This window comes from Homo sapiens, chromosome 13 (assembly GCF_000001405.40).
Source record: "Homo sapiens chromosome 13, GRCh38.p14 Primary Assembly".
Classification (NCBI taxonomy): domain Eukaryota; kingdom Metazoa; phylum Chordata; class Mammalia; order Primates; family Hominidae; genus Homo; species Homo sapiens.
The window spans coordinates 27,365,758-27,390,176 of record NC_000013.11 but is presented as its reverse complement, the minus strand read 5'-3'; the positions used below and the strand labels follow the sequence as shown (position 1 = coordinate 27,390,176).

The 24,419-nt window shown below is 46.5% G+C and overlaps 1 long non-coding RNA gene across 1 annotated transcript, besides 3 other annotated features; it reads left to right on the top strand.

Moving 5' to 3' along the window:
* Positions 8,558–9,245: an enhancer, noted in NCBI's record as "H3K4me1 hESC enhancer chr13:27955069-27955756 (GRCh37/hg19 assembly coordinates)". NCBI's record gives its function as "activates a minimal SCP1, AML or CMV promoter by ChIP-STARR-seq in naive H9 embryonic stem cells {active_cell/tissue: H9 hESC(naive)}" and the evidence as "EXISTENCE:reporter gene assay evidence [ECO:0000049][PMID:30033119]".
* Positions 10,171–10,358: a silencer, noted in NCBI's record as "fragment chr13:27953956-27954143 (GRCh37/hg19 assembly coordinates)". NCBI's record gives its function as "represses an EF-1alpha promoter that drives an FKBP-Casp9 reporter gene in an ReSE screen in K562 erythroleukemia cells {active_cell/tissue: K562}" and the evidence as "EXISTENCE:reporter gene assay evidence [ECO:0000049][PMID:32094911]".
* Positions 15,279–16,478: an enhancer, noted in NCBI's record as "CDK7 strongly-dependent group 2 enhancer chr13:27947836-27949035 (GRCh37/hg19 assembly coordinates)". NCBI's record gives its function as "activates an origin of replication core promoter dependent on BRD2, BRD4, P300/CBP, MED14 and CDK7 cofactors, with strong dependence on CDK7, by STARR-seq in HCT116 cells {active_cell/tissue: HCT116}" and the evidence as "EXISTENCE:reporter gene assay evidence [ECO:0000049][PMID:35650434]".
* Positions 15,393–23,265, top strand: LOC105370126 (uncharacterized). Its single transcript, XR_941783.4, has 5 exons — positions 15,393–15,592; positions 16,694–16,857; positions 18,240–18,324; positions 21,628–21,744; positions 22,013–23,265. It is a non-coding gene; the product is annotated as an uncharacterized LOC105370126 (long non-coding RNA).
* The last annotated feature ends 1,154 nt before the right edge of the window (positions 23,266–24,419 follow it).

Sequence of the window (24,419 nt, the reverse complement as noted above, 5' to 3'; positions counted from 1 at the left end):
TGCATGTCTGGGGCAGAAAAAGTACCATATTTTCTCATACCAGAAAGCAAGCAAGCTCTCAAGGCTACTCGGGTGGCGCCAAAGACTTGGAGCCAAGCCATCCTGACCAACATGGTGGAACCTCATCTCTACTAAAAAAATACAAAACTTAGCGGGGCGTGGTAGCACTGCAGTAGATTAGCTACTGGGGAGGCTGAGGCAGGAGAATTGCTTGAACCCGGAAGGCAGAGGTTGCAGTTAGTCAAGATTGCGCCACTGCACCACTGCACTCCAGCCTGGTGACAGAGCAAGACTCCATCTCAAAAAAAAAAAAAAAAAAAAAAAAAAAAGACTTGGAGCCAAGCTTGAAGAGGCCAAAGATGTTTAAGTCCCCAAGTTCACAGTAATACAAACACCACCACAACATAACAGCAGCTTATCTGATAACTTTGGAGGATTTTAAGGAACCGAATCTTTATTTTTGAACTGGTAAATCAAGGGGAAAAAATTAGGCATTTGTTCTTTATTTTCTATAAGATCTGGACCTCAGGGTAACCAACGAGTTGATGAGGGAAGCTTTGCTTTGTAGTATACAGTATTGCTCATAGATACAGAAGGATTGCTAGAATTAGAAGTCTGGGTGCGGTGCCTCACGCCTGTAATCCCAGTACTTTGGGAGGCTGAGGTGGGCAGATCACTTGAGGTTAGGAGTTCAAGACCTGCCTGGCCAACATAGTGAAACCCTGTCTCTATTAAAAATACAAAAATTAGCTGGGCGTGGTAGTGGGCGCCCGTAATCCCAGCTACTTGGGAGGCTGAGGCCCAAGAATCGCTTGAAGGTTACAGTGAGTGGAGATGGCACCACTGCACTCCAGCCTGGGCGACAGAGTGAGATTTTGTCTCAAAAAAAAAAAAAAAAAAAAAAAAAAGAAAAAGAAAAAAGAAAGAATTAGAATATCATCGTTTTGCAATCCAAATAAATGAATAGCCCTAGGCAGTGCCCATCAATAGCTAGTAACATTACACAAGGGGAGAAAAGTAGTCATTGTGTACTTCCATTAAGGATGTACACCACCCATGAAGCAATCTTGCAGACACACACCTGACCAAGCCTCTAGTTCTGGGAATACAAGGGACAGGGCACACGTTAAAGGCCCCTAGAGGAATTTCAGCAGCAAAACTTAGCCTATAGGCAGCGCTGCAGGAGAAACAATTCAGTTTCTGAGGGAGGGGGGCAGGTATCTACATAGATTAAAAGATACTCAAGAGACATATCCCAATGCACAGACCTTCTGTGGATCTCAATTCAAACAGGTAAACTTTAAAATAATTAATGGCAATAGGCAATTAAAGAAATGTGAACATTGACTGGATAATTGAATGATATTGAGGGGTTATGGTTAATGTTTTAGATGAGATAATACTGTGGTTATATTTTTTAGTTTTAGGATTTAGAAATACTTATTGAAATATTTATCGATGATGAGCTATATGGGTTATAATTCATAATAATAATAAAATATATTTTGAATAAAATGTATTTCAAAATAATCGGAGTGGGGAAACAAACTTGGCCATGAGCTGACAACTGGAGTTGGGGACGGGTACATGGGGGTCATTATACTATGCTCTCTGTTGAAGACTATCTAGCCTCTTGATAACTCCAGCAAGGCAGGCAGTAGTAATTGCTGAGGCCTAGGAGATTAGGAACAGGAATAACAGGATGGTCTGCACACTTCCATGGGTTGGAGGCAGCAGACTCCCTGGCCACCCAGCAAGTCCCTGGCCCTCACACAGATGAGTGTATGTTAAGCAAAGGAGAGGGCCAAGGGCTGTGAGGTGTGGCAGGGTGTGAAGAATGGGAAGACAGTTAGCATCTCCCCGTCAGGAGATAACAGATCTTCAAATAACTGGATAGTAATCTGAACTCAGTGGCTGGGAAGCCTTATTTAGATACCAAAGCAGATGACAGAGGAGGCAAAGTAGGTCAAACTTGCCTGGAGAATAAAAAGATGCAAAAGGACAATTTTTGTTTTTATCTGCACTTTCTCTCTCTGCATCCCATCCATTCCCGTCTACAACTCTCCCCTCCCCCTCTCTAAACCTTCCCTCTCCCTCTCCCATGCTCCCTTCCTCTCTCTCTCTCTCTCTCTCTCTCTCCTGCTTCCATGTCCCTCTCACTCCTGGCTCCTGCAACGTGGTTCTGTGTGAGGAGGGCTCAGGGCACATACCCACAACAGAGCAGCGTTCAAGTGTCTTTTCCACAAACCTGAGGCCTGTGTAGCCTCTGCTGTGTGCCTCTGCCTGTTCCTCTCTGCATCTCTGTTTCTCCTTAGAACATGTCACTGAGAAGCCAAAGTGAAATCAGAACTCTTCTGCTCAGATGCGCCAGCATCTGTTTGTAAATCTATCTTAAGAGACCATAGCTCTGAGCTCTATTTCCAAGTCACCCAGCAGAAAGCGAACATCCCCTTTTCTTTTATTTTCTATCCCTTTTCAAAAACAAGAGGGAGAGATGGGGGGGGTGGGTCACTGTTGATGTTTCTGCAGCTGGAGCATGCACATTACACGTTTTCAGAAAATCAGACTCAGAAAAGTTGCTGTGCAGCATCTCAAAGACTTGAGCACCAGACTGTGGGCTCTGGGCGCCCCAGCCTGCCCGTCCCTCTGCAGCCTCCTATGGCCACACACGGCTGGGCCAGAGGGGAGCTGCCAGCCAGAGGCGACAGGAAATGGGCATTAGCACCTGGCGCAGTCCTCAACCCTCGCCTCCTCCCCAGCGCCTCAGCCCTTTGCACACTGGTGGTGCAACCAGTTACCAATCGCATAAGACTTAGGGGCTAAAATGAAGCAAGTAGATGGCCTGCCACAGAATTTAGGCTAAAGTGAAAAAGCAGGCCAGGCGTGATGGCTTATGCCTGTAATCCCAGCACTTTGGGAGAGGCCAAGGCAGGAGGATCCTTTGGGCCTTGGAGTTTGAGACCAGCCTGGGCAACATAGTAAGGCCCTGTCTCTACCAAAAATACAAAAAAGTTAGCTGGGCTTGGTGCCGTGCACCTGTAGTCCCAGCTACTCAGGAGGCTGAGATGGGAGGATCACTTGAACCCAGGATTTCGAGGCTGCAGTGAGCTATGATCACTTCACTGCACTACAGCCTGGGTGACAGAGCAAGACACTGTCTCAAAAATGAATAATTAAATAAATAAAAAGATGTCTGTAGACATCCAGCTGCCTCCTCCCTCCAGTCTCTCCTGTGCTAACAGCCCACCTCCTGCTTCCAGCACCACAAAGTGTCACAAACCCACAAGCAAAAGTCTCATAGCAAACCGAAGACTTAGGTCCTTTAATAAATGGATCCCCATCTTGCCATTAGCAGTTCATCTCCTCCCCAGCAGTCCTCCTTACTATCCAGCCTCCTGGGGTCCACACACTACACATCAGAGTGCCGCCTCCAGGATTCAGGATTCTCAGACTGTCACCCCTCCTCTGCAGCCATCCACACCCGCCTCCCCTAAGAGGTGCTCCCCTGGCTTTGCCAGCCCTCCAGACCTCTGGCCCTCCGAATTCCTGTTGTATTTCTAATGCTCGTCACAGCATTCAGCACTCAATCAAAGCACTTTCCATGTGGATCACGGCAGATGTGTGCATATCTTGTGATGAGCAAGGCAGGCTCAATCACTGGGCTCTGATTCAGAGTTCCCAGGGAGCTGGAATGATGCAGGCACTTTGGGTGCAGGGATGGGCACAACGGAAGACAGATTGATAATAAAGTTCAAATGTCTTTGAAGATCATGTTTTGTTTTGTTTTATTTTATTTTATTTTATTTTATTTTATTTTATTTTATTTTATTTTATTTTATTTTATTTTATTTTATTTTTGAGACAGAGTCTCACTCTGTCACCAGGCTGGAGTGCAGTGGCATGATCTCGGCTCGCTGCAACCTCCGCCTTCTGGGTTCAAGCAATTCTCCTGCCTCAGCCTCCCGAGTAACTGGGACTACAGGCGCCGGCCACCACGCCCGTCTAATTTTTGCATTTTTAGATGAGACAGGGTTTCACCATGTTGGGCAGGATGGCCTCGATCTCTTGACCCTTAACACACACATACGTGTTGCATTCTACTCCATGATGTGTTCAAGTCTGATAGAGTATAAAACTGAGGTTTACATCATGTGCTGTAATGAAGAGAAAGTGACTGAGATTTGGCCCTCATCTGCCAGCACCCCACTAAGCACATATGGTGAGGCGTAGGAAGCACAGGTGTGCAAAGAATGCGGAGCACACAGGTGGAGCTCAGGCTCGGCTCCGAGGTTCACTGGGTCTTGGGACAGGTTTCTCCAAGCCCCAGCTCCCCGAACTGTAAGAGGGACCATGCCCATCTCCAGAGCCCATGTCACCGTTCAATGGAACGTGCCTGGCTTGCAATAGATGCTCACTAAATGTTGGGTTTCTTCCTTTCCCTCTTTCCATCTGGAGCCCACCTCTCAAGCACCATCAGGCCGGGACTCTTGGAGGAGGCTCAAGGAAAGAAATCAGCATGCAGAAGTCGGGGGAGGTGGCCAACCTGACCAGACGCCTCTGATCCTGCATCTCCTTTGCCCTATCTAAAGTCCTCCCCAACACTGCCTGGCCTGGACCCACTCCCCAGTGAATTCTGTAAGATGAGTGCCTCACTTCTCTGGTAAGTGTTACTGCAAACCGTTTTACAAAGAGATAGGCTGTTGCTGCCCAGCCAAGAGCAAATTCTGAGATTCCAATCACCTACATGCAGGGCTGGGAAAGGAACATGGACCTGCAAAGAGTGGCCCCTAAAATAATTTAGTGGCTGAAAACTAGGAACTTTGCAAATGAGAAGCCACAGTTTCAATATACTTTTTATGCACTTCTAGCAGAGAATCAGCTACGCTGATCACAGTGTTTTTCACTTGCTTGTTAGAATACAAGCTCCTTGGAGAACAGGTCATTTCTTATTCATTTTTATACATTGTATCTCCACATCTGTGCAGTTTCATGAGTAGACACCCAGGAGCTGTTTGTCAGGAGACCTTATACAAAGCAAATCCTTATTCCTATTGAATCCACCACTAATCGTTTCTAAATCAATTTTGTTGATACTTAGTTGACATATCTTGAAAGTTTAGAGATTTATTTTCTACAAAAGACATCACTTTCTCAGGAAGACTAACCTCACCAGAACCCCATTCTCCCAGCTCCTGCTCCAAGTCAGGCAGGGCCCTCCACTGTCTTCCCCCAAAATCCATCATGCCTTTGAAATTGTCTGTTTCTGTGTTCATTTGCCTTGTGCTTAATGATCGTTCCATTCATTTTTATACCTCCATTGTCTGTTCCAGTGCATGAACCGGAAGTACCACTTCAACACCATTCGGTGTATACGGACAGTGAAACTGCATTCCTTTGATGAAGGAATTTAAAATGTTTCATACACAGGAAGGGCTCATCTACAGGGTTTAGTATTTTTGTTATAATTCATTTTTCAGAATTTGTGGGGAGTGATACTAAATTTTGTTTCACAGGAAGAAAGGGAGGAGGGAAAAAGGAAGAAAGGGAGAGAAGGAAGGGAGGCAGGGAGGGAGGGAGGGACTCACAACGCCAGGAAGCTTTATAGACATCATCTCATGTAATCCTCATAACAAGATCCTGGGAGGGGGTACTTATTATCCCCATTCTGCAGATGAGAAAACTGAGGTATAGAGATGTTAAATAACTTGTCCAATTACTAAGTTGCAGAGATGGGATTCAAAACTGACTCAAATCTGAAAGTTCATGCCTTTTCCCTGCACTGTGTTTTCTCCTCTCATAAAACAGATCCTTCAGGACCCGGGGGGCACGATCTCCATGTACTGGCTTCTCTCAGGATCTTCCGAGCTGGCTGAGCTGGCTCTCCTGATGCTGAAACGTAAAAGTTCCCCTGTCCCCCTCGCAAGGCTTGCGATAGAGGGTGCGCCTCGCCTTTTCAATGCCGCACTGCTCAAACCTCTAGAGGCGCATACAGACGGGCAGGCTGTGGGGCTCCAACCCTACAGCAGTGGCTAGGGGTGAATGTTTACAGCTCCTGAAGCCTCAGTGGGCATGTGTTACACGGTACTCTTTTAAGAGTTTAGCTGTCTGCAGGCAGCTTGTGTTAGCTCAGTTAGATCCCCTTCCATATTATCACAAGGACAGAAGGATTTCTGTATCCTGGGGTTTCCTGCCTTGGTGTACTGGAAGAACCCGATCACACGTGAGCTTGGAGAATGAGTGCAAGGCTTTATTGAGTAAAAGTACCTCTCGTCAAACGGGGGAGCCAGAAGGGAGATGGTTTTCCTTGTGGAGCTGGGCCACCTGGCGGCCTAGGCTCTCCTCAGACTGCCCCGTCCAAACTCCGCCTCCTTCCGCGGGTCAATGGCCTGCCAGCATCTGTCTGAGTGCTCTTCTGCCGGCATGCTCCCCTTGATGTCTCTCGATGTCCAGCCGCTTGTCTTCTTTCATCGATTTGTTTTTCTCCACGTACAGCGGCTTGTGTGTCTGCCTGCTAGGGTCTCGGGTTTTTATAGGTCCAGGATAAGGGTGTGGAAGGTCGGCCAGGGTGGTCTTGGGAAATGCAACAAAAATGCCTGTCCTCACCAAGGTCCATGGGGGTGGAGCCCTAGCCAGGGACCACGCCCTCCTCTACCCTGCACTTCCCTTACCCCCTTCTGTATCATTTAAAGGGACCACGCTCTTCCCTTCCCAGCACCCCCATATCAAGGGTTGGTCCTCCTCCAGCAGCTATGTATCTGAGAGGCTCCTGATGCAATGGCTCAGCATCACAGTTGAAGGACACACACTCCTGCCTTAGAGCAATGGGGAGACCGGTTCCCACAGGAACCGGTTCAGCAAAGGCAGCAAGATGCCAGCCATCAGAGATAAAGGCTGCTGCCACCTATTGAACCTCACAGTGCACAGTAAGGACAGTCTCCAGGACTTCTCCCCCAGGGAGCTGAGCTTTGGGAGAGTAGAGAATTTGCATCAATCACTGAAAGAGACAGAGGGGCCCGTGCCTCTTACACCAGTAAATGGTATATATTACCAAATGCTGGAGGGCGCGAAATGTTTCCTAACTGTGTGATTAGGAATGTGATTCCCACCAGCGCAATTGATCAGGCCACTATGCTACTTAGAATCCTATTTGGGTTTTGTTGTTGTTATTAACGAAGCAGGAATGCAGAGATTATAAATATGATTATTTTACAAATAAGGAAATGGTCCTAGGGAGGTCACCAGAGTGGCCAGGCTCAGACTAGAATGTGTTTGAAATCAATTTATAAAAAATGAAGTCATTTTAAAGATGAAACTGGCATCTTTGCTTATTTTCTGAACTGTTCTCCTAATGAAGAAAACATATTGGGTATTACAGAACAAAGCTCATCTCTTTAACTGGCCAGGCTGATCCAAGAATTGAATACATGAACGACAGAAGGGACATTTTCATGGGGACTTTTCTCTTTAAGAGGCCCCCACGTAGTTGCCCCACTTCCACAAATGTTGCAAGCTAAAGAGCCATACAAATGTCTTAAGGGAGAATAGGGGCCTGATCCGTCTTGTGCCTCTGACTACTCATTTTCCTTATTAGTATAGGTGTGACCTCAGTGTGAATTTTTGCAGAAAAGTCTGGCAACATTTCCTGCTGAGCACAAACAACAAATTACGTGGGGAGGACATCAGCACGATATTCTTCCAAGGACCATGTTAGTCTTATTTGGTACTGCCATTCTCCAAAGGTATCGTGTTGCATGGACACATATATTCTTGGGGAGCATTAATTATTTTAAAAACATGAGTATATGCCAGCTGACATGTCCTGAGAATATTATTGCTAGTTATCCCCAAACTGCCCTACTTTCAGGACAGAGACTGTGTCCTGTACCTCTGTGGCCCCTGCCCTGGTTGTCTGCCCTACCGGAAGTGCTCGTTAAACTTACGGAATGACTGACTGATTGTGTGATGTTTATGTATTCAGCATTGCTAAACAGAGCGGAGGACAGAAATGGTGGTAGGTGTGGGGGGCTCAGGGCTGGGGACATGTCAGATATAACCATATTACTCCCTCGGGCCCTAACCCTAACTTTCCCAGCCTGATAAGTGGGGACTAAGAGGCATGTCTGTGAGAAACAACTGTCCTCACACCCTCTTATTAGTGTAACTCCCTCAAGTCCATTATGAAGGAATTTGTAGAGAAGCAGAGAAGCTGACTGTAAGCTCTGCGGCCCCAGGCAATTAATCTCTAGATGGTGCAGACCCGGGCTCCTGCCCCGTGCCCCCAGGTTGGAATGTGGGATTGCCCCTCGACTGCAGGTGTGGGTGGGGAGGGCCGCCCCTCGTCGGGCTTGAGTCTGTGATGTTGGAGCCGCCCGGCACTAAGAGGAAGCCCATTCTCCAAGCCCAGGCCAGGCCAGGCCGCACCGGCCCCGCTCCCGCATTGATCCTGGCCAAACGAACCCCCCAGCACCTGGGTCTCCCTTGCTGTAAACACTTTTATTTCACCCCTCGGTTTATGGCCTCCCCTTCCAAAGGATCACAACTTGTTTAAACCGGCTCTAAACAAAGGGCTGTCACGATTACAGACCTGCTGCTGGTTTTATGGTGGGCTTCCTTTGTCTAATTCTCTCCCACTCCCTTCCTTCCTCCCCACACCCCACGGCCAGGTACCCAGGCCTTTTAAGAGAGGCCTTCTAGCCAGCTGCTGGGAAGGGAGGGTGAGGGTGCGCTTCCGACTCTCACATCTGGTACCCCTCAGCTGGGGCTGGTTGCCCCCACAGGAGGGGGGGATAGGACAGGTAGGAATCCCAATGTTCCTGGGGTCAGGCTACAGCACGTCCCCCGCCCCCAGGAACGAGAAGAGGGTCTGAGGGTGTCCTCTGGGGGTTCACCTACCACACTGCCTTATAGGGGCCGGGTCCAGCGGGGCTGGGATAAAGAAGGATACCACAGGTACTGTTCTGTTCCTTCAGCCATCCAGACAAAGCCCACACGCCACTCAGCACTCAGGGAATGGTGGAGGCAGGTAGGACTCCTCAACAAGCCAGCTCCGCCCTGCCCAATGTGGGGCTCTGCCCATTGCAGGGACATCCAGACTCCGCTGCAGACACTGAGGACCCTCCCCAGGCACCTGGGCTGAACAGACTCCAGCTAGCATCCTTCTCTCCTTTGCTGCCTGCCTGCCGCTTTTCTCAAGAGGGTGCTAACTCCCCTACCGCCCCTCCCCCACCCCCCCCCCGACTGGGCTTCCTCTAGGAGGCTAGATGGGCAGAAGTGCTCAGGGATCCTGGGGCACCTGAAAGCAGGAAGGTTCTCCAAGGTTTGTTTGGGGCTCACTCGCACTCAGGAGAGTGGGCCATGGCTTTGGATAGAGGCACCACCTCTGCTAGACACTGGCCGCTGCAGACACAGGTCTCCCTCCCAGGGGCTCCCTGAAGACCAGGACAGGACAAAGACCAGGACAGGATGAAGGAGGCAGAATGACTTGTGGGAGGCAATGCAGTGGGGTCACATTTACTTCCCCTTGTTTCAGCCTGGGGAACGCCTCTTGGGAAAAAAGTATTTGTTCAGGGGACTGCAGTGAAAGCTTTGAAAGAAACCACTGGAACTGGCAGGCTGAGGCTGGGAGTGTGGAGAGAGGAGGTGTCAGACCCTCGCGTTTGCTAAACAGGCTGACTCCAGAGAAAGAAGGTTGTGTCCCCTTTATGCCCTGGTCACATGAACACACAAATGGCCTTAGGTTGGCTCAGGACGTGCTCCAAGGAACAGAAGGGGGACCCTAGAGACAGTGGGGGGTCACGAGGGACTGTCTTGATGCCCTTTCCCCATTGGCACATCTGGTCCTCTCTCCAAGTGTGCCATTCTGTACAGAACAAGTGGGGAGGTGAATCCACCCAGAGCTGGGCCTGACACACGGTGGACACATTTGAAAAATAAAGGTAATGTGATTGCTCTGCAGTTTCCAGTCTACAAAGAAAAAGATGCAGGAAGGCAAACACACAATCATCAGAAGGAATGTGGCGCCCCCCTGGGGATGGGATGGGAACAACGGTGCAGGAAAACCCCACGGCCTCTTCTTCCTGGACTCAAGCCTCTGAGTTAGAAGCCAGCCTGACTCCTAACCAGCGGCAGCCGAACAGCCCGTGCTCCAGCAACCTGGGCCAGTGCCGCCTGAGGGCAACCAGATTCCAGAGTCACTCCAACCTTCTGGAAATCCACTGTAGGCTGACCTTGCCCCAGTCCTTGCCTGTGTTCCTTCTCATTTTATAATAAAAATCCAGCATTTCTGTAGTGATTTTTTCCAGTTTAAAAATTGCTCAGTCACCATTTTTTCTTTTTTTTTTCAGAAGAGAAAAAGGACTTAGAAAAGTTAAATTACTTATTTTCCAAACTGAGCTATAGATTCAATATAATCCAAATAAAAATGCCAGAACGCTTTTTTTCTTTTTTTAGAAATCAACAATCTGTTTCCAAAATTTATATGGAAATACAAAAGCCCGAGAATAGGTAAGACATTCATCAAGAAGATTACAATTGAAGTTTCTACATTACTGGAAACCAAGACTTATTATAAACATACAGTAATTAAGACCAAGAGGTATTGATGCAAGGATAGAAAAATAACAGGCCAGGCACAGTGGCTCATGCCTGTAATCCCAGCACTTTGGGACGCTGAGGCAGGAAGATCATTTGAGCCTAGGAATTCAAGATCAGCCTGGGCAATATGGTGAAATCCTGTCTTTACAAAAAATAAATAAATAAATAAAAAATAAATAAATGCAGGCGTAGTGGCATGTGCCTGTAGTCCTAGCTATTTGGGAGGCTGAGATGGGAGAATTGCTTGAGCACAGGTCAAGGCTGCAGTGCGCCATGATCACACTACTGCATTCCAGCCCGGGTGTGCAGCCAGATTCTGTCTCAAAAAACAAACAAAAAACCCAAAGAGTCCAGAAATAAATCCACACATACATAGACAAAACTGGATTTATGACAAAACTTGAAGCTCAGAGGACAGAGGAAAAAATGGTCTTCATAATTGGTATTAGGGAAATTGGCTATTGGTATTTCTTTTTTTAAAATAAATTTTGGCCCCATCTCATACCATATACAAAAATCAGTTGCAGATGGATTGGTCATCTAAATGTGAAAGGTAAACGAATAAAGTTTCTAGAAGAAAATAGGAAAATATCTTCCTGGTCTTGAGGTGAGAGAAAACTCTTCCTAAACAGGACACTGAAATCCCTAACCATAAAAAAAAAAAACAAAAAAAAACAGATAAGTTGAACTATATTAACATTAGGAACTTTTGTTCATCAAAAACACAATTAAGAGAGTGAAAAGGCAGGCCAAGCGCAGTGGCTCACACCTATAATCCCAACACTTTGGGAGGCCGAGGAGAGTGGATTACCTGAGGTCAGGAGTTCAAGACCAGCCTGGCCAACATGGTGAAACCCTGTCTCTACTAAAAATACAAAAAAATTAGCTGGGTATGGTGGCGGGCGCCTGTAATCCCAGCTACTAGGGAGGCTGAGACGGGAGAATTGCTTGAACCCAGGAGGTGGAGGTTGCAGTGAGCCAAGATTGTGCCATTGCACTCCAGCCTGGGCAACAAGAGCAAAACTCTGTCAAAAAAAAAAAAAGAGTGAAAAGGCAAGCCACACAGTTCAACACTATATTTGTAATACATAAAAATGATAAGGACTTATATTCGTAATATATAAAGAACAGCCACAGATCAGTAAGAAAAAGAACACACACAATGCCCCTAGTATTGGGTGGCATTGGAATGGGCACAGGCATTTTTGGGATCCTGCTAAGAGAAAGTTGAATAGGGATACACTTAATTTGGGTTAGTGAGACGTATCTGTGTGGCTCGCAGTCACTTCTGTGCACAGTTGTTGCCAGCTGTTCTGCTATAAGAATGGGTTCCAGAATGTGCTTGCTTCCCCTGCACAGTGTTCCCAGCATCAAGGCCCAAGGTACAACACTCTTCTAATCACAGGCGTAACATTTTTAGTGGAGAAGCCAGTCTTCAATGACACTGGGTCTAAACAGAAGGTTTCTCCCTCAGGGATATACTCAATAACGCAATGATTATAAATCCAATGCATTGTATTTTTATTTATTTATTTATTTAATCATTTTTTTCTTTGAGACACAGTCTCACTCTGTTGCCCAGGCTGGAGTGCAGTGTCTTGATCACAGCCCATTGCAGCCTTGACCTCCTGGGCTCCAGCCTCAGCCTGCTGAGTAGCTGGGACTACAGGCACGGGCCACCATGCCCAGCTAATTTTTAAATTTTTTTGTAGAAACAAGGTCTCACTATGTTGCCCAGGCTGGTTTTAAACTCCCAGGCTCAAGTGATCCTCTCACCTAAGCCTTCCAAAGTGCTGGGATTACAGGTGTGAGTTACCATGCCTGGACTATTTTTATTTTTTATGACAGTCAAAGTCAAGTGTTTATCAGGATTTCTGAGTTTGTAGGACAGAAGTCTATAGTAGTGCTATATATGGTGAATATGGCTGTGTGAAGTCACATATTTATAAATCCCAACCACTGTGCTAGAAGAAATACTGAATTGACACTCTATAGAAGATATTACAAAACCGTTGACATGCAAAGAGGAAATAGAAAAGTATGAAGTCAAAAAATGAAGGAACTACTTCACCCATTAGAATGGCTATTATCAAAAGACAGAAAATAACAAGTGTTGCTGAGGAGCTGTTAAAATGGGAACACTTGTACATTCCTGGTGTGAATGTAAAATGGTTTAGCCACTGTGGAAAATGGTATGATGATTCTTCAAAAAAATTAAACTTAAAATTACCATGTGATCCAGCAATTCCACTTTGAGGTATACACTCAACTGAAAGCACAGACTCAAATAGATGTTTGTACACCCATGTGTGTATGGCAGCATTATTCACAACAGTGAATAGGTGAAAGCCACTTAAGTGTCCATCAATGGATGAATGAATAAACAACATGTGGAATGTCCATACAATGGAACATTATTCAGCCTGAAAAAGGATGGAAATTCCGATACGTGCTACAATATGAAGAACCTTGAAGATATTAAGTGACGCAAGCCAGTCAGAAAAGGACAAATACTGTATTTGTCCACTCGCACGAGGTAGTAAGGCTTTGGGGAGAAACACAGCAAAATCAGCATAGCCCACCAACTCCACTGCATTGAAACTGCTTCTGCATCTGTCAACCTGACTGCCGGGCACAGCGTGGCAAATCCCGGGCATTCAACAAATATTGTGGACCGCCACTACACTGGGGCCACCAAAGAAATATGATCAAAGCTGCATGAAGCAGTGCATTGAGGATTGACTGCTAATGAGTTTGGCTCATTTAAGACTTAGAGTAGTTACATTCATAGGGACAGAAAGTAGAATGGTGGTTGCCAGGGACTGCAGAATGGGGAGTTGTTCCATGGCTACAGAGTTTCCATTCCACAGGGTGAACAGAGACCTGGAAATGGTTAGTAGTGATGGTCGCACAACAGTGGGAATCTACCTAATACTACAGAACTGGACACTAGAAAACGGTTTAAATGTGTGTGGTTTTTTTGTTTGTTTGTTTTGTTTTTTGAGACAGAGTCATGCTCTGTCAACCAGGCTGGAGCGCAGTGGCTCCATCTCAGCTCACTGCGATCTCCCGGGTTCAAGCAATTCTCCTGCCTCAGCCTCCCAAGCAGCTGGGACTACAGGCACGTGCCACCACGCTCAGCTAATTTTTGTATTTTTAGTAGAGACAGGGTTTCACCAAATTACCCAGGCTGGTCTCGAACTCCTGACCTCATGATCCACCCGCTTCAGCCTCCCAAAGTGCTGGGACTATAGGCGTGAGCCACTGCGCCCAGCCTTGAGCCACCGCGCCCGGCCTGTGACTTTTAATTTTTCCAAATTCATTAGCAGTGGATCCTCAGTGCACTACTTTGTGCAGCCTTGATCATATTTCTTTGGTGGTTCTAGTGTAGTGGTGGTCCACAATATTTGTTGAACGCCCAGGATTTGCCGTACTGTGGAAAGCAGGCGGGCCGACAGACGCAGAAGCAGTTTCAAGGCAGTGGAGTTGGTGGGCTGTGCTGATTTTCCTATGTTTCTCCCCGAAGCCTTAATGGCTAGATCGTAGACCAGGTGGGAAACAAGAAGGGAAATGGGGAGAGTGGAGGGAATCTACTGGGGGATGGGTGAGTGGAGTTGGGGACCGGTGGAGGATGTAAAGAGAATCCAAGCGGAAAAGAGTGAAGCCCCCTGGTGGACAGAGGTGGTAGGGGTTGTGAGGAGCAGCCAGGGCCGTTGTCCAATTCCAAGTTAAATACCCAGGAAATCAGCCAAAAGCTGACTTGCAGGGCTGTGCATCTTAGAAAGTGTTTCAATTGCCACTATCCTTGCCTGGGCCAACTATGGCAATGTATGGACAACAAAGCCCTTTCCCACATAGTATCTGATTTTATTTTATTTCTACTCACTTTTTTCGTACATACTACATTGTTATCTTTTGAGGGTGTGGGTTGTTTTTTTTTTTTCAACTTTTTTTGTTCTGTGGTTGGTACCAAAGTGGTGTTATTATTGATCCCAAATTTTCTTCTGTTTCACATTAGGTCAATGTTAAAACTAGAAACAAGACTGCTGAATATTGTTTTCTAATGTTTATCTTCCATAAATCTAGGTCTTAAAAAACAGAATAATGCGATACTTGGTTTTTAACACAATGTTTGCTTATCAGTATCTAAACATATACACACATGCAATTAAAACTGTATATTCTGTTCGTATCCAGGCTGGCCAACATGGTGAAACTCCATCTCTCCGAAAAATAAAAATTAGCCGGATGTGGTGGCATATGCCTATAATCCCAGCTACTTGGGAGGCTGAGGCAGGAGAATCGCTTGAACCCGGGAGGCAGAGGTTGCAGTGAGCCAAGATTGCACCACTGCACTCCAGCTTGTGCAACAGAGCAAGACTCTGTCTAAAACAAAACAAAACTGTATTCTAAGCTTATTTGGGGAAAATGGACCAATTTTCAAACTAATTGAGGAAATTCAGGAGCATAACGAGTTGGTGGCAATATCATTTATATCAATATAGTCATTTATATCACTATATATGTATTATATCAACATAGTGATTCCAACCCAAACCACTATATTCATTTTCACTTCAGCAACATAGAAATAGCCATTGATCATTTCAATCAGAAAAGATCCTGCTAAATGTGTCCCCTGACTTTGTGAAGATGTGGTGACGTGGCCGTTTCATCCAAGTGTTCTGGTCCAGCCCAGAGGTAGGTGGAGTTAGATTTCTGGAGCCTCGTGGAGGCGTTCTGTGGCTACACAGTGACCCCTACTGCTCATTACGGGAGTGAAGAAAGCCTAGAGCGAAATCAGGAAAACAACGTGCTGATTCCTGAGCCTCAGAAAACTGAGAAGTAGGCAGGGCTATACCATTTTCTCTGCACTTTATGAGCATAATAATTCTTCAAAGGACTGGCTGCATCTACAAATACCTACTAAATGGAAACCGTCAAATCAAATGGGAGGCTCACAGCAGATGCCAACTCCACCGAGCGGATCTGGGCCAGGGTGAGTCCAGGAGAACACCTGGTTGTCGCTGCAGAGGCTGGGCACATGTTTGCTCTGTGGGTCAAGAGCTGATGGAATCAGGAACAGCAGGGAGAAACTGACCCTCCCTTCACCTTTGCCAGGAAGTGACACCTCTTGGCACCAGAATGTCTAGGGCTGGGTTTGGGAACCGGGGTGTGACGCTTCTATTGCTCACCGGCAGATCTTCCACTCCTTTCCAGAAGAGTCACCGGAGATGTGTCAAAGTCTCTATCCCTGGTCCCTGTTGCCAAGTCAGGACTTTGCTGGGCATTCCTAGAGTAGGTGTGGCAGCTCATAGGTCACCTTTGGAGCCAAGGTAAAGATGGCAGCTTGGTCTGACTAAGGAGGAGTCCACAGATGCGGCTCGTCCGCACAGCAGGCAGTGCAAACCCAGGCAGGAGCTCATCATCTTTGTAAGCCTTATTCAATGAGCCCCATTTTATTTTGCTGCTGATTAAAGCTATGTATCATAGAGAGGCATTGCCTGATGTTCAGAGTGCAGGGCCTCTGGGAGCCTGGCATGAAGGGCCCAAGGACAACCAGCTTAGCACTCAAGTATCCACCTGGTACCTGCAAGATGGAACAAGAGAATGTATGAGGAAACCCTCTGAGCTGCACAAATATAGGAACGGTGGGATATACAGACACATACTGTCTTGCTGGTCTGGAAATGGTCCCTGGGATGTGATGGGGAAGGATGGGGTAAATTCAACTGGGATAAATACAACAGAAGTGAGCGCAGAGCCAGAGGCCTGGGGCAGCCAGCTGTTAGCGCTCCTCAGCCTCTCTCCGTCAGAAACTGTCTTCCTGTTCCAGCCAAAGTCTCTGCTACATCTGTGAAGTAGAGGTACTGACAAGCATTTCACCCTGCTGATGTCCTGCCTGGAAGGACCTTACTCTGGAAATAACACACCACCACCAATGCCAACAACCTCATCACTCAGTGCTTTTAGACAGCAGAAAGACAAATAAATTCTACTATTTAGAGAGAGTCTATCGTGTACCAGACCTTGTTCCAAGTACTCCATACTTCTTAGCTTATTTAATTCTTCCAACAGAATTCTTATCCCTATTTTACAGGTGAAGAAACGGAACTGCAGAGAGGTTAAGCCACCTGGGGCAGGAACTAGGATGGAAATCCAGGCAGTCTTGTTGCTGAGACCATCTCCATAATCCTCTGCTAAACTTCTTCCTACCGAGAAAGACATGTTCTGGGAGAGCAAGGGCTAAGAGGCTGCTCCTTGGTGGGTATATTACTGTTCTTTCCACTCTCCATGACCTCTTTTTACGTGTTTGTATGAGTGCTTTATTTCTTGCTGTCATTTTTTGAAATGATGAAGCAAGGTAGCCGTCTGTTAAGGAAAAGCTGGAAGAGTTTTCCATGTGCCTGCTGCTCCGGTCCCGGGTGAGGAGCGCTCCCAAGTGGCTTGTTCAAGGCGGTCTGTTTGCTGACAACATACAATGCAAACAAGGGCTCCGGTGGGGACGTCAGAGGAGCAGCTGCTCGGTGTCTAGGAGAGCTTGAGTGTGGTTTGCAAAGCAAACTGACTCTAATTAGGACAAATACTGTGGTGGCCTGGGACCTCTGAAAGATAAAGCAGCAAGGAAGTATTGACCAGGACGTTTCCATGGGCCGAAGTGCAGAAATAGAGGAGCAGTCCAGGGATGTAAGGGTTGCTCTCTCATTGACTCTAAGTCTACCTGTGTCAATGACTCTGTCTGTGGAGACCCAAGAGGAAGTCAACCTGCAGCCATTTGACACCTTTGGTATTTAAGGGGACAGCTTTGCAGAAGGAAAGGTGAAGGCTACTTAGGAGGAGGCGGCGCTTGATCAAGGTGTTGTTTAAATGTTTTTACCAGTTTAACAACCTCGCAGGTTAACACAGGCCCACATCGCACAGAAGTAAGCTGGCGAAAGGAAATAACACAAGCAAAAGTTGTTTTCAGAGAGAGAGGAAGGGAAAAAGTCTCAATGTCCTTTCCCCTACAGTGCTTCCTGGACTTTAACATTCATGCCTATCATCTGGGATCAAGGCAAGGAGATCCAGGTTTGAGCCTGGACATTGCCAGCCTTTAGCTGTGCATCTTGGGCAAATCACTCAGCTCTGTGGGACATCAATTTCCTCATACAATTGGCACCTACCTCATAGGGTTGTGGTAGAGACTGAATGAAACGGTGTAAGCAAAAGAGCACAGGGGCTGGCACAGAGTGAACGTCAGCAGCTAATTTTGTTTTCATCATTAGCAGCTAATTTTGTTTTCATCATTACTATTGACAAGCATTCATTGAACAAGTACTCACCTGTGCTGTAGTAGATGATCTTGGTTCCCACCTCCCCCCCCCCCCCCCCGCCAGGTGTGTGAGTGCCGGCTGCAGACACAGCTGCCGACTTCCCAGAGAGCTGCCCTCTGCAAAGGGCATTGTACCACCTGGCTATGCCTGGAAGGTTGTACCCAATGACTGACTCATACAGGTGCAAAAACCTGGCCCCCAACGCATGGCGGGACAACTCTGTGGTGCATTCAGGTACCAGAACTCTTCAGGGGAATCAGGTCAGGTTAGACTCATCTGAAGCCACAATTTTGCTTAGCTTTTCCCTGGATAACTTCCCTCTCCTCCCTGCAGATTCCCCCTGAGTGCCCGCCCTCCAGCCCTCACTCCAGTGAGGGGCCTGACCTGAAACAGCTGTCTGCCCTTGCCAGGCTCAGAGGTGAGTGGTGAAGAAGCAGTTGCCCCTGCCCAAAATGAGCCTATGCTCTGCTGGGGGAGACTGATCAGTAAAGGGACAATTTTTTGTCATAAGGAATTCCATGGAGGTAACTGAGGTGGCACCAAAGCTCATAGGATGCTACTGCAGGAAGCAACAGCTAAATCAGGCCTTCTTGGGTGGGGAGGACTGGCCAGGCAAGCAAGGGTGAAGGGTACGGGCAGAGAGAGCACCACCTGCAAGGCTCAGAGAGGGCAGGATGGGTTTTCAGACTTGAAGGGGTCACTTAGAGGCCCCAGGACTAAGGAAAGGGTTTGCCGCCAGAACCTTTTCTTTCCGTGGACCACAGAGGTGACCCCTGGGCAGAATCTCCATGGCAACAGCCCACATTCCCTGAGGCTGACTTTTGGGCTGATGCTGTTGGGATAACGTAGAGCAGCAACCTTCAAACAGATTAATTCCTTCCCCATGGATGGCTTGGTCTGGTCGGAGCCTCAGTTGCAGGTGGACTCAGTCCTCCTTCCCACACTCAGCAGAAGGAACACGGCTACCGTCACAGCATGACAAATACTATACGATTCTGCTCATGGCAAATACTATGCAATTCCACTCATGGCAAATACTATGCAAACCCGCTCATGACAAATACTGTGTGATTCTACTCATGACAAATACTATGTGAATCCATTCACGACAAACACTATGCGATTTCACTCACAGCAAACACTATGCGATTTCACTCACAGCAAACACTATGCGATTCCACTCATGACAAATACGATGTGATTCCACTCATGACAAATACTATGTGAATCTATTCACAACAAACACTATGTGATGCCGCTCGCGGCAAACACTATGCGATTTCGCTCACGGCAAACACTATGCGATGCTGCTCACGGCAAATACTATGCGATTTCACTCACAGCAAACACTATGCGAATCCATTCATGAAAAATATGATGTGATTCCACTCGTGGCAAATACTATGCAAATCTGCTCATGACAAATACTATGCGAATCCATTCATGACAAACACTATGCGATTCCGCTCACGGCAAACACTATGTGATTCCGCTCACAGCAAACACTATGCAAATCCACTCATGACAAATATGATGTGATTCTGCTCATGACAAATGCGATGCGATTCTGCTCATGACAAATACTGTGCAAATCGGCTCGTGACAAATGCTATGCAAATCAGCTCACAATAAACATTATGTGAATCTGCTCATGACAAACACTATGCAATTATGCTCATGACAAACACTATGTGATTCTGCTCATGACAAAAAACTATGCAAATCTGCTCATAACAAACTCTATGCAATTCCGTTCATGACAAACACTATGGGAATCTGCTCATGTGAGGCATCTAGCAACAGATTCACAGACAGGAAGTGGGACGGTGGTGACCAGGGGCAGGGGGGCGGGGGTTGTTGTTTAATGGGTGCAGTTTCAATTTGGGTAGATGTAAAAAATTCTGGAGGTGGATGGTGGTGATGGTTGCACAACAGTGCCAATGTCCTTAATGCCACTTTAAAATGGTTAAGATGGTGACCTTTATGTTATGTATATTTTACTGCAATAAAAAAAAAAATCTCTATTGTGGTGCTGACGCTTGCCCAGCAATGTGACCCTAACTGTATCTGTGATGATTCTTCTGCCCCAGGAAGCTCTTTGTGGCATCTCTGTCCTCCTCATCATTTTTTGTTTTGGTTTGCTTTGGGTTTTTTTGGGGGGGGAGGGGCGGGGTTTGTTTTGTTTTGTTTTTTTTTACAATAGAACAGAACTGAAAGCCATAAGAAAAACACTAACAGAGATTCTTGGTCCTAGTTTGGGTTCACAGAACAGTGATGTCATTTTAAGAGCTTCCTATGTCACAGCCAGAATAGAAATGACAACTCCAGCATCCGCATGTGTCTTCCCCGCCTCGCCCTCCATGTGAGTTCTGTTGTGGACCAGTCACTTCTTACTGGCCACAGTTTCACAGGAGGTACTCAGGGGATGTTCTGGAAGGAGGAAAGTGGGGAAGGGATGGATGGCTCTTAGACCCTCCGGTGCCTTAGAACCCCTCCTTGTTCAGATAAAGAGAAGTTTGCAAGAGCCAGGGAGGTGAAGTCCAAAGTCACTCTCTTTGCTTTTGTAAGTAAGCGGTGACCCTGGCTGGGGTCAGAATCAGGTCTCCTGATTCCTAACGCAAGACTACTCCCACTGAGTTATCCTAAAACTTGACAGTCCAGACGCCATTTGATGACTTTAGTTGTCTAATTAACTCCCACCTGGAATAACTAAACTTTTGTGTTTCTCTTATTTGTTTCTTTGATACCTAGTGTTTGCCCAGCTAAAGTAAACTTTTCAAAGATATGGAGCGGGGTGAGAGGACTTGTTTTTTATACCCTGATAAGTGTAAGAGGGTGCCTAGGTCTCTACAAAGTCCATTTGACTAACAAATTGAGGGTTCATGAATCTACATTAGACTCCCAAACTGCCTCCCTTGTGTTGGGCCCAAAGGAAAAAAGAAACAAAAATGTATTGAGCACTACCGAGTGCCGGCCCTGTGACAGTTTTCATAAAGCCCTCACAGAAACCCGGAGGTGGCATTGTCTGCCTTGTTTCAGGTGAGGCAGCCGTGGCTTGGGGCTTAAGGAACCAGTCCAAACCCACCCCATGGCCGCTGTTGGGTGAGTGGCACAGCTAAGAGTTAGGCAGCATGATGCCTGGCATTCAGCAGGCCTCCAGTGAAGGTTTGTTGAATGAATAAATGAACTCATATCCATCTGTCAATAACACCCCTACTCTCACCCCTTCCCCATTGTCATTATTTGGATAGTGGACCCTAGACAGTGTCCTCAGTCTCAACCACTAGGGTGACAACATAGTCAAATAGGAGACAAAAACATCTGAAAGAGGAAAAAACAAGGTTATTCTTGCTTTATTAATCAGTTTTATTAATCATTGAAACACATGGAGGTGAAGTGAAGGGTTGGAAAGGATGTTGCACAATTAGAGAGTTAATTTGTGTTCGAACAAAACATTTTATATATGTATGTATGTATTTATTAGAGACAGAGTCTCACTACGTTGCCAAGGCTGGTCTCAAATTCTTGGGCTGAAGCAATCCTCCCATGATGGCCTCCCAAATGTTGGGATTACAGGTGTGAGCCAGCATGCCCAGCCAGGAACATCACATTTTAAAACAACAAAGAGAGGGGGAAATTGATGTCTGCATGTCACCAGGTTGTCATTGTTTCTGTCACTATGAGTAAGGACCAAAACCTTTTTTTCTTTTTTTTGAAACAGAGTCTCACACTGTCACCAGGCTGGCGTGTAGTGGCGCAATCTCGGCTCACTGCAACTTCCACCTCCCGGATTCAAGCAATTCTTCTGCCTCAGCCTCCTGAGTAGCTGGGACTACAGGTGCGCGCCACCATGCCCAGCTAATTTTTGTATCTTTAATAGAGACGGGGTTTCACTGTGTTGGCCAGGATGGTCTCCATCTCTTGACCTTGTGATCTGCCCACCTCGGCCTCCCAAAGTGCTGGGATTATAGGCATGAGCCACTGCACCCGGCCCTAAACCATTTTTTTTTTTAAGTTGGCAGGGCAGCAAGCCCAGGGTGTAGACTGATGAGACAAGGTCCCTCTGAAATAGCTCTCATGGCTCTCCTTGTCTTTCCCACAAACAGAACAGAAGCTAAAGCAGAAAGAAGTTTAATGGAGACCTGGAAGCCTCTCCGTAAAGACTCTGGGGCAGGAATGGGATCTGTTTGCAGGGCTCAGGGAGGACCCACGGCTCCTGTGGAGGCTTACGCGGCACCTGAGAAGTGATCAGTCAGGAAGAGCTACCTGGAGTACCTGAGCCCAACCAGATATTCTTTTCCCCGCCGTCTTCCCCGGGATCCAGCAATTTATATTCCCTACCTCAGGAAATCTTGGAAAAGTTATTCCAGCAGAATGAAGCAATGTACTATTCCAGCAGAACATAGTCAGGACCTGGTGACGTGGGGGTTTGGCAATGATCAATGACCCTGGTGTCATACTCTAAATTTGTTTCAAAAGTGGCAGCAGGGGAGAAGGAGGCAGTGAAATCAATACTTGAAGTTTGTCTTGATTGGATGGGGTGTGTGTTTTCTTTTCCACCCTAGTTGTTGTTGAAGCTGTTTACCAAAAGGCTGTGCAAATAGGATTAGTCAGCTCCAGGGCCATTAATAACCCGCTGGACAGAGCTGGCTCCATTCCAATTGATTTTTGAATTTTTGAAGCTGTCCATTTTTTTGGAGCAGAGATGAAAGCCCCAGAGGGGCTGGTATGAAAGCATGAGATTTTTGCCTGTACTGGGGCTGATCCCACAGATGCAGGAGATGAAACGTTCTTCCAGTGCCATTTGCTTTCCATCTGAATGAGGCAGGTCCTGCGGCAGCTCTGAAGAGGCAGGGGCCATCACAAACGAATATTGCAGCAGGTCAAGGGGACACTGCTATTGTGTGCACACTGATGGAGACCCAGAGTAAAACGTGGCCTGAGGTTTGCCAGAATGTGCTTAAGAAGCAAACCTCACATACCTGAAACTCTCTTCGTGCCCTCCTGTCCTTCCAAAAACTATCAGTTCGAATATCCTGAGAAATGTCACATAGGTAAGCTGTAGGACCATCCTTGAGAGGTTGCTGTTGGTAAAAACCAATGGGGCCAGAAAACATGAATTTATATCCCAGCACTCTGGGCTATAACTTTGAGCAAATTAATCTCTCTGATATTCTATTATAGCAATTGTGAATTGACAATGTCATCATAGCCCATTTCTTATTTCTGAAAAAGTGCTTTTTCTGGATCTCATTCACTTAAGAACTCAAATTCTAAACATGGAGACCATCAGAGCCAAGGTCCTTGTTAAAAGAAATGTATGTTTTATATATTAAAGTTTAAAAGAAATATACATATACATTGATTTTAGAGTCATTTGTGCTATTCTACTTAGCATTTTATTTTAAAAAGCAAACTTTGCTTTTTGTGTGTCTCTGAATCTACCCTAAGACGTGAGGAGAAAGATGTCTTTTAAATGAAGGGAAGAAAACTGAGGATGATTTGCAGAAATCTACCCATAATATTCATGTTGACTATTTCTGCTTTGTGCTGTGAACAGCTGCACCCTGGGATAGCAATCACTGTCTAGCTCTTTACAAAAGCAGATTCATTGTAAGAACCAAGACTGGAATTGTTGCACAGAGGTAGCAATTTAGACGTTTTTCCTCTCCAACAACTTTAATAATTCTACACTTGTTGATTCATTCAAAATACAATTGAAAGGGGAAGGAAGGACCAGGCGTGGTGGATCACACCTGTAATCCCAGCACTTTGGGAGGCCGAGGTGGCTTCATCACCTAAGGTCAGGAGTTTGAGACCAGCCTGGCCAACATGGTGAAACCCCGTCTCTACTAAAAATACCAAAAAAATTAGCCAGGCATGGTGGCACATACCTGTATTCCCAGCTACTCGGGAGGCTAAGGCAGAAGAGAATCGCTTGAACCCGGGAGGCGGAGGGTGCAGTGAGCCAAGATTTTGCCACTACACTCCAGCCTGGGCAACAAGAGCGAAACTCCACCTCAAAAAAAAAAAAAAAAAAAGGGCGGGGAGGAAGGAGAAAAACCAAGATCGGAAGACTACAGGGCTCAGAGGAAGCCCTGTGTGAAGGTTTCAGCCATCTGCTCAAGCTGAAGCCCCCAAGTTTGTTTCAAATGAGCCCAACCTATTGTACGTTACCCTAAACAGTACTGTAAATTAGCCCCAAAGAGCTTGGCTTCAATATACCTTGTAGTTTTACTTTGCAAAAAATTACAAAGGAGATAGTTCCTGGGGAACATTTTTCAGCTGCATTCACAATAAAATAAAGAAGGGCCAGGTGTGGTAGTGCGTGCCTGTGGTTCCAGCTACTCAGGAGGATGAGGTGGGAGGGTTGCTTGAGCCCAGTAAGTCGAGGCTGCCGTGAGCTACGATTGTGCCCTGTACTCCAGGTTGGGCAACAGGGCAAGACCCTGTCTCTTAAAAAAATAAGGTAAGGCCGGGTGCGGTGGCTCACACCTGTACTCCCAGCACTTT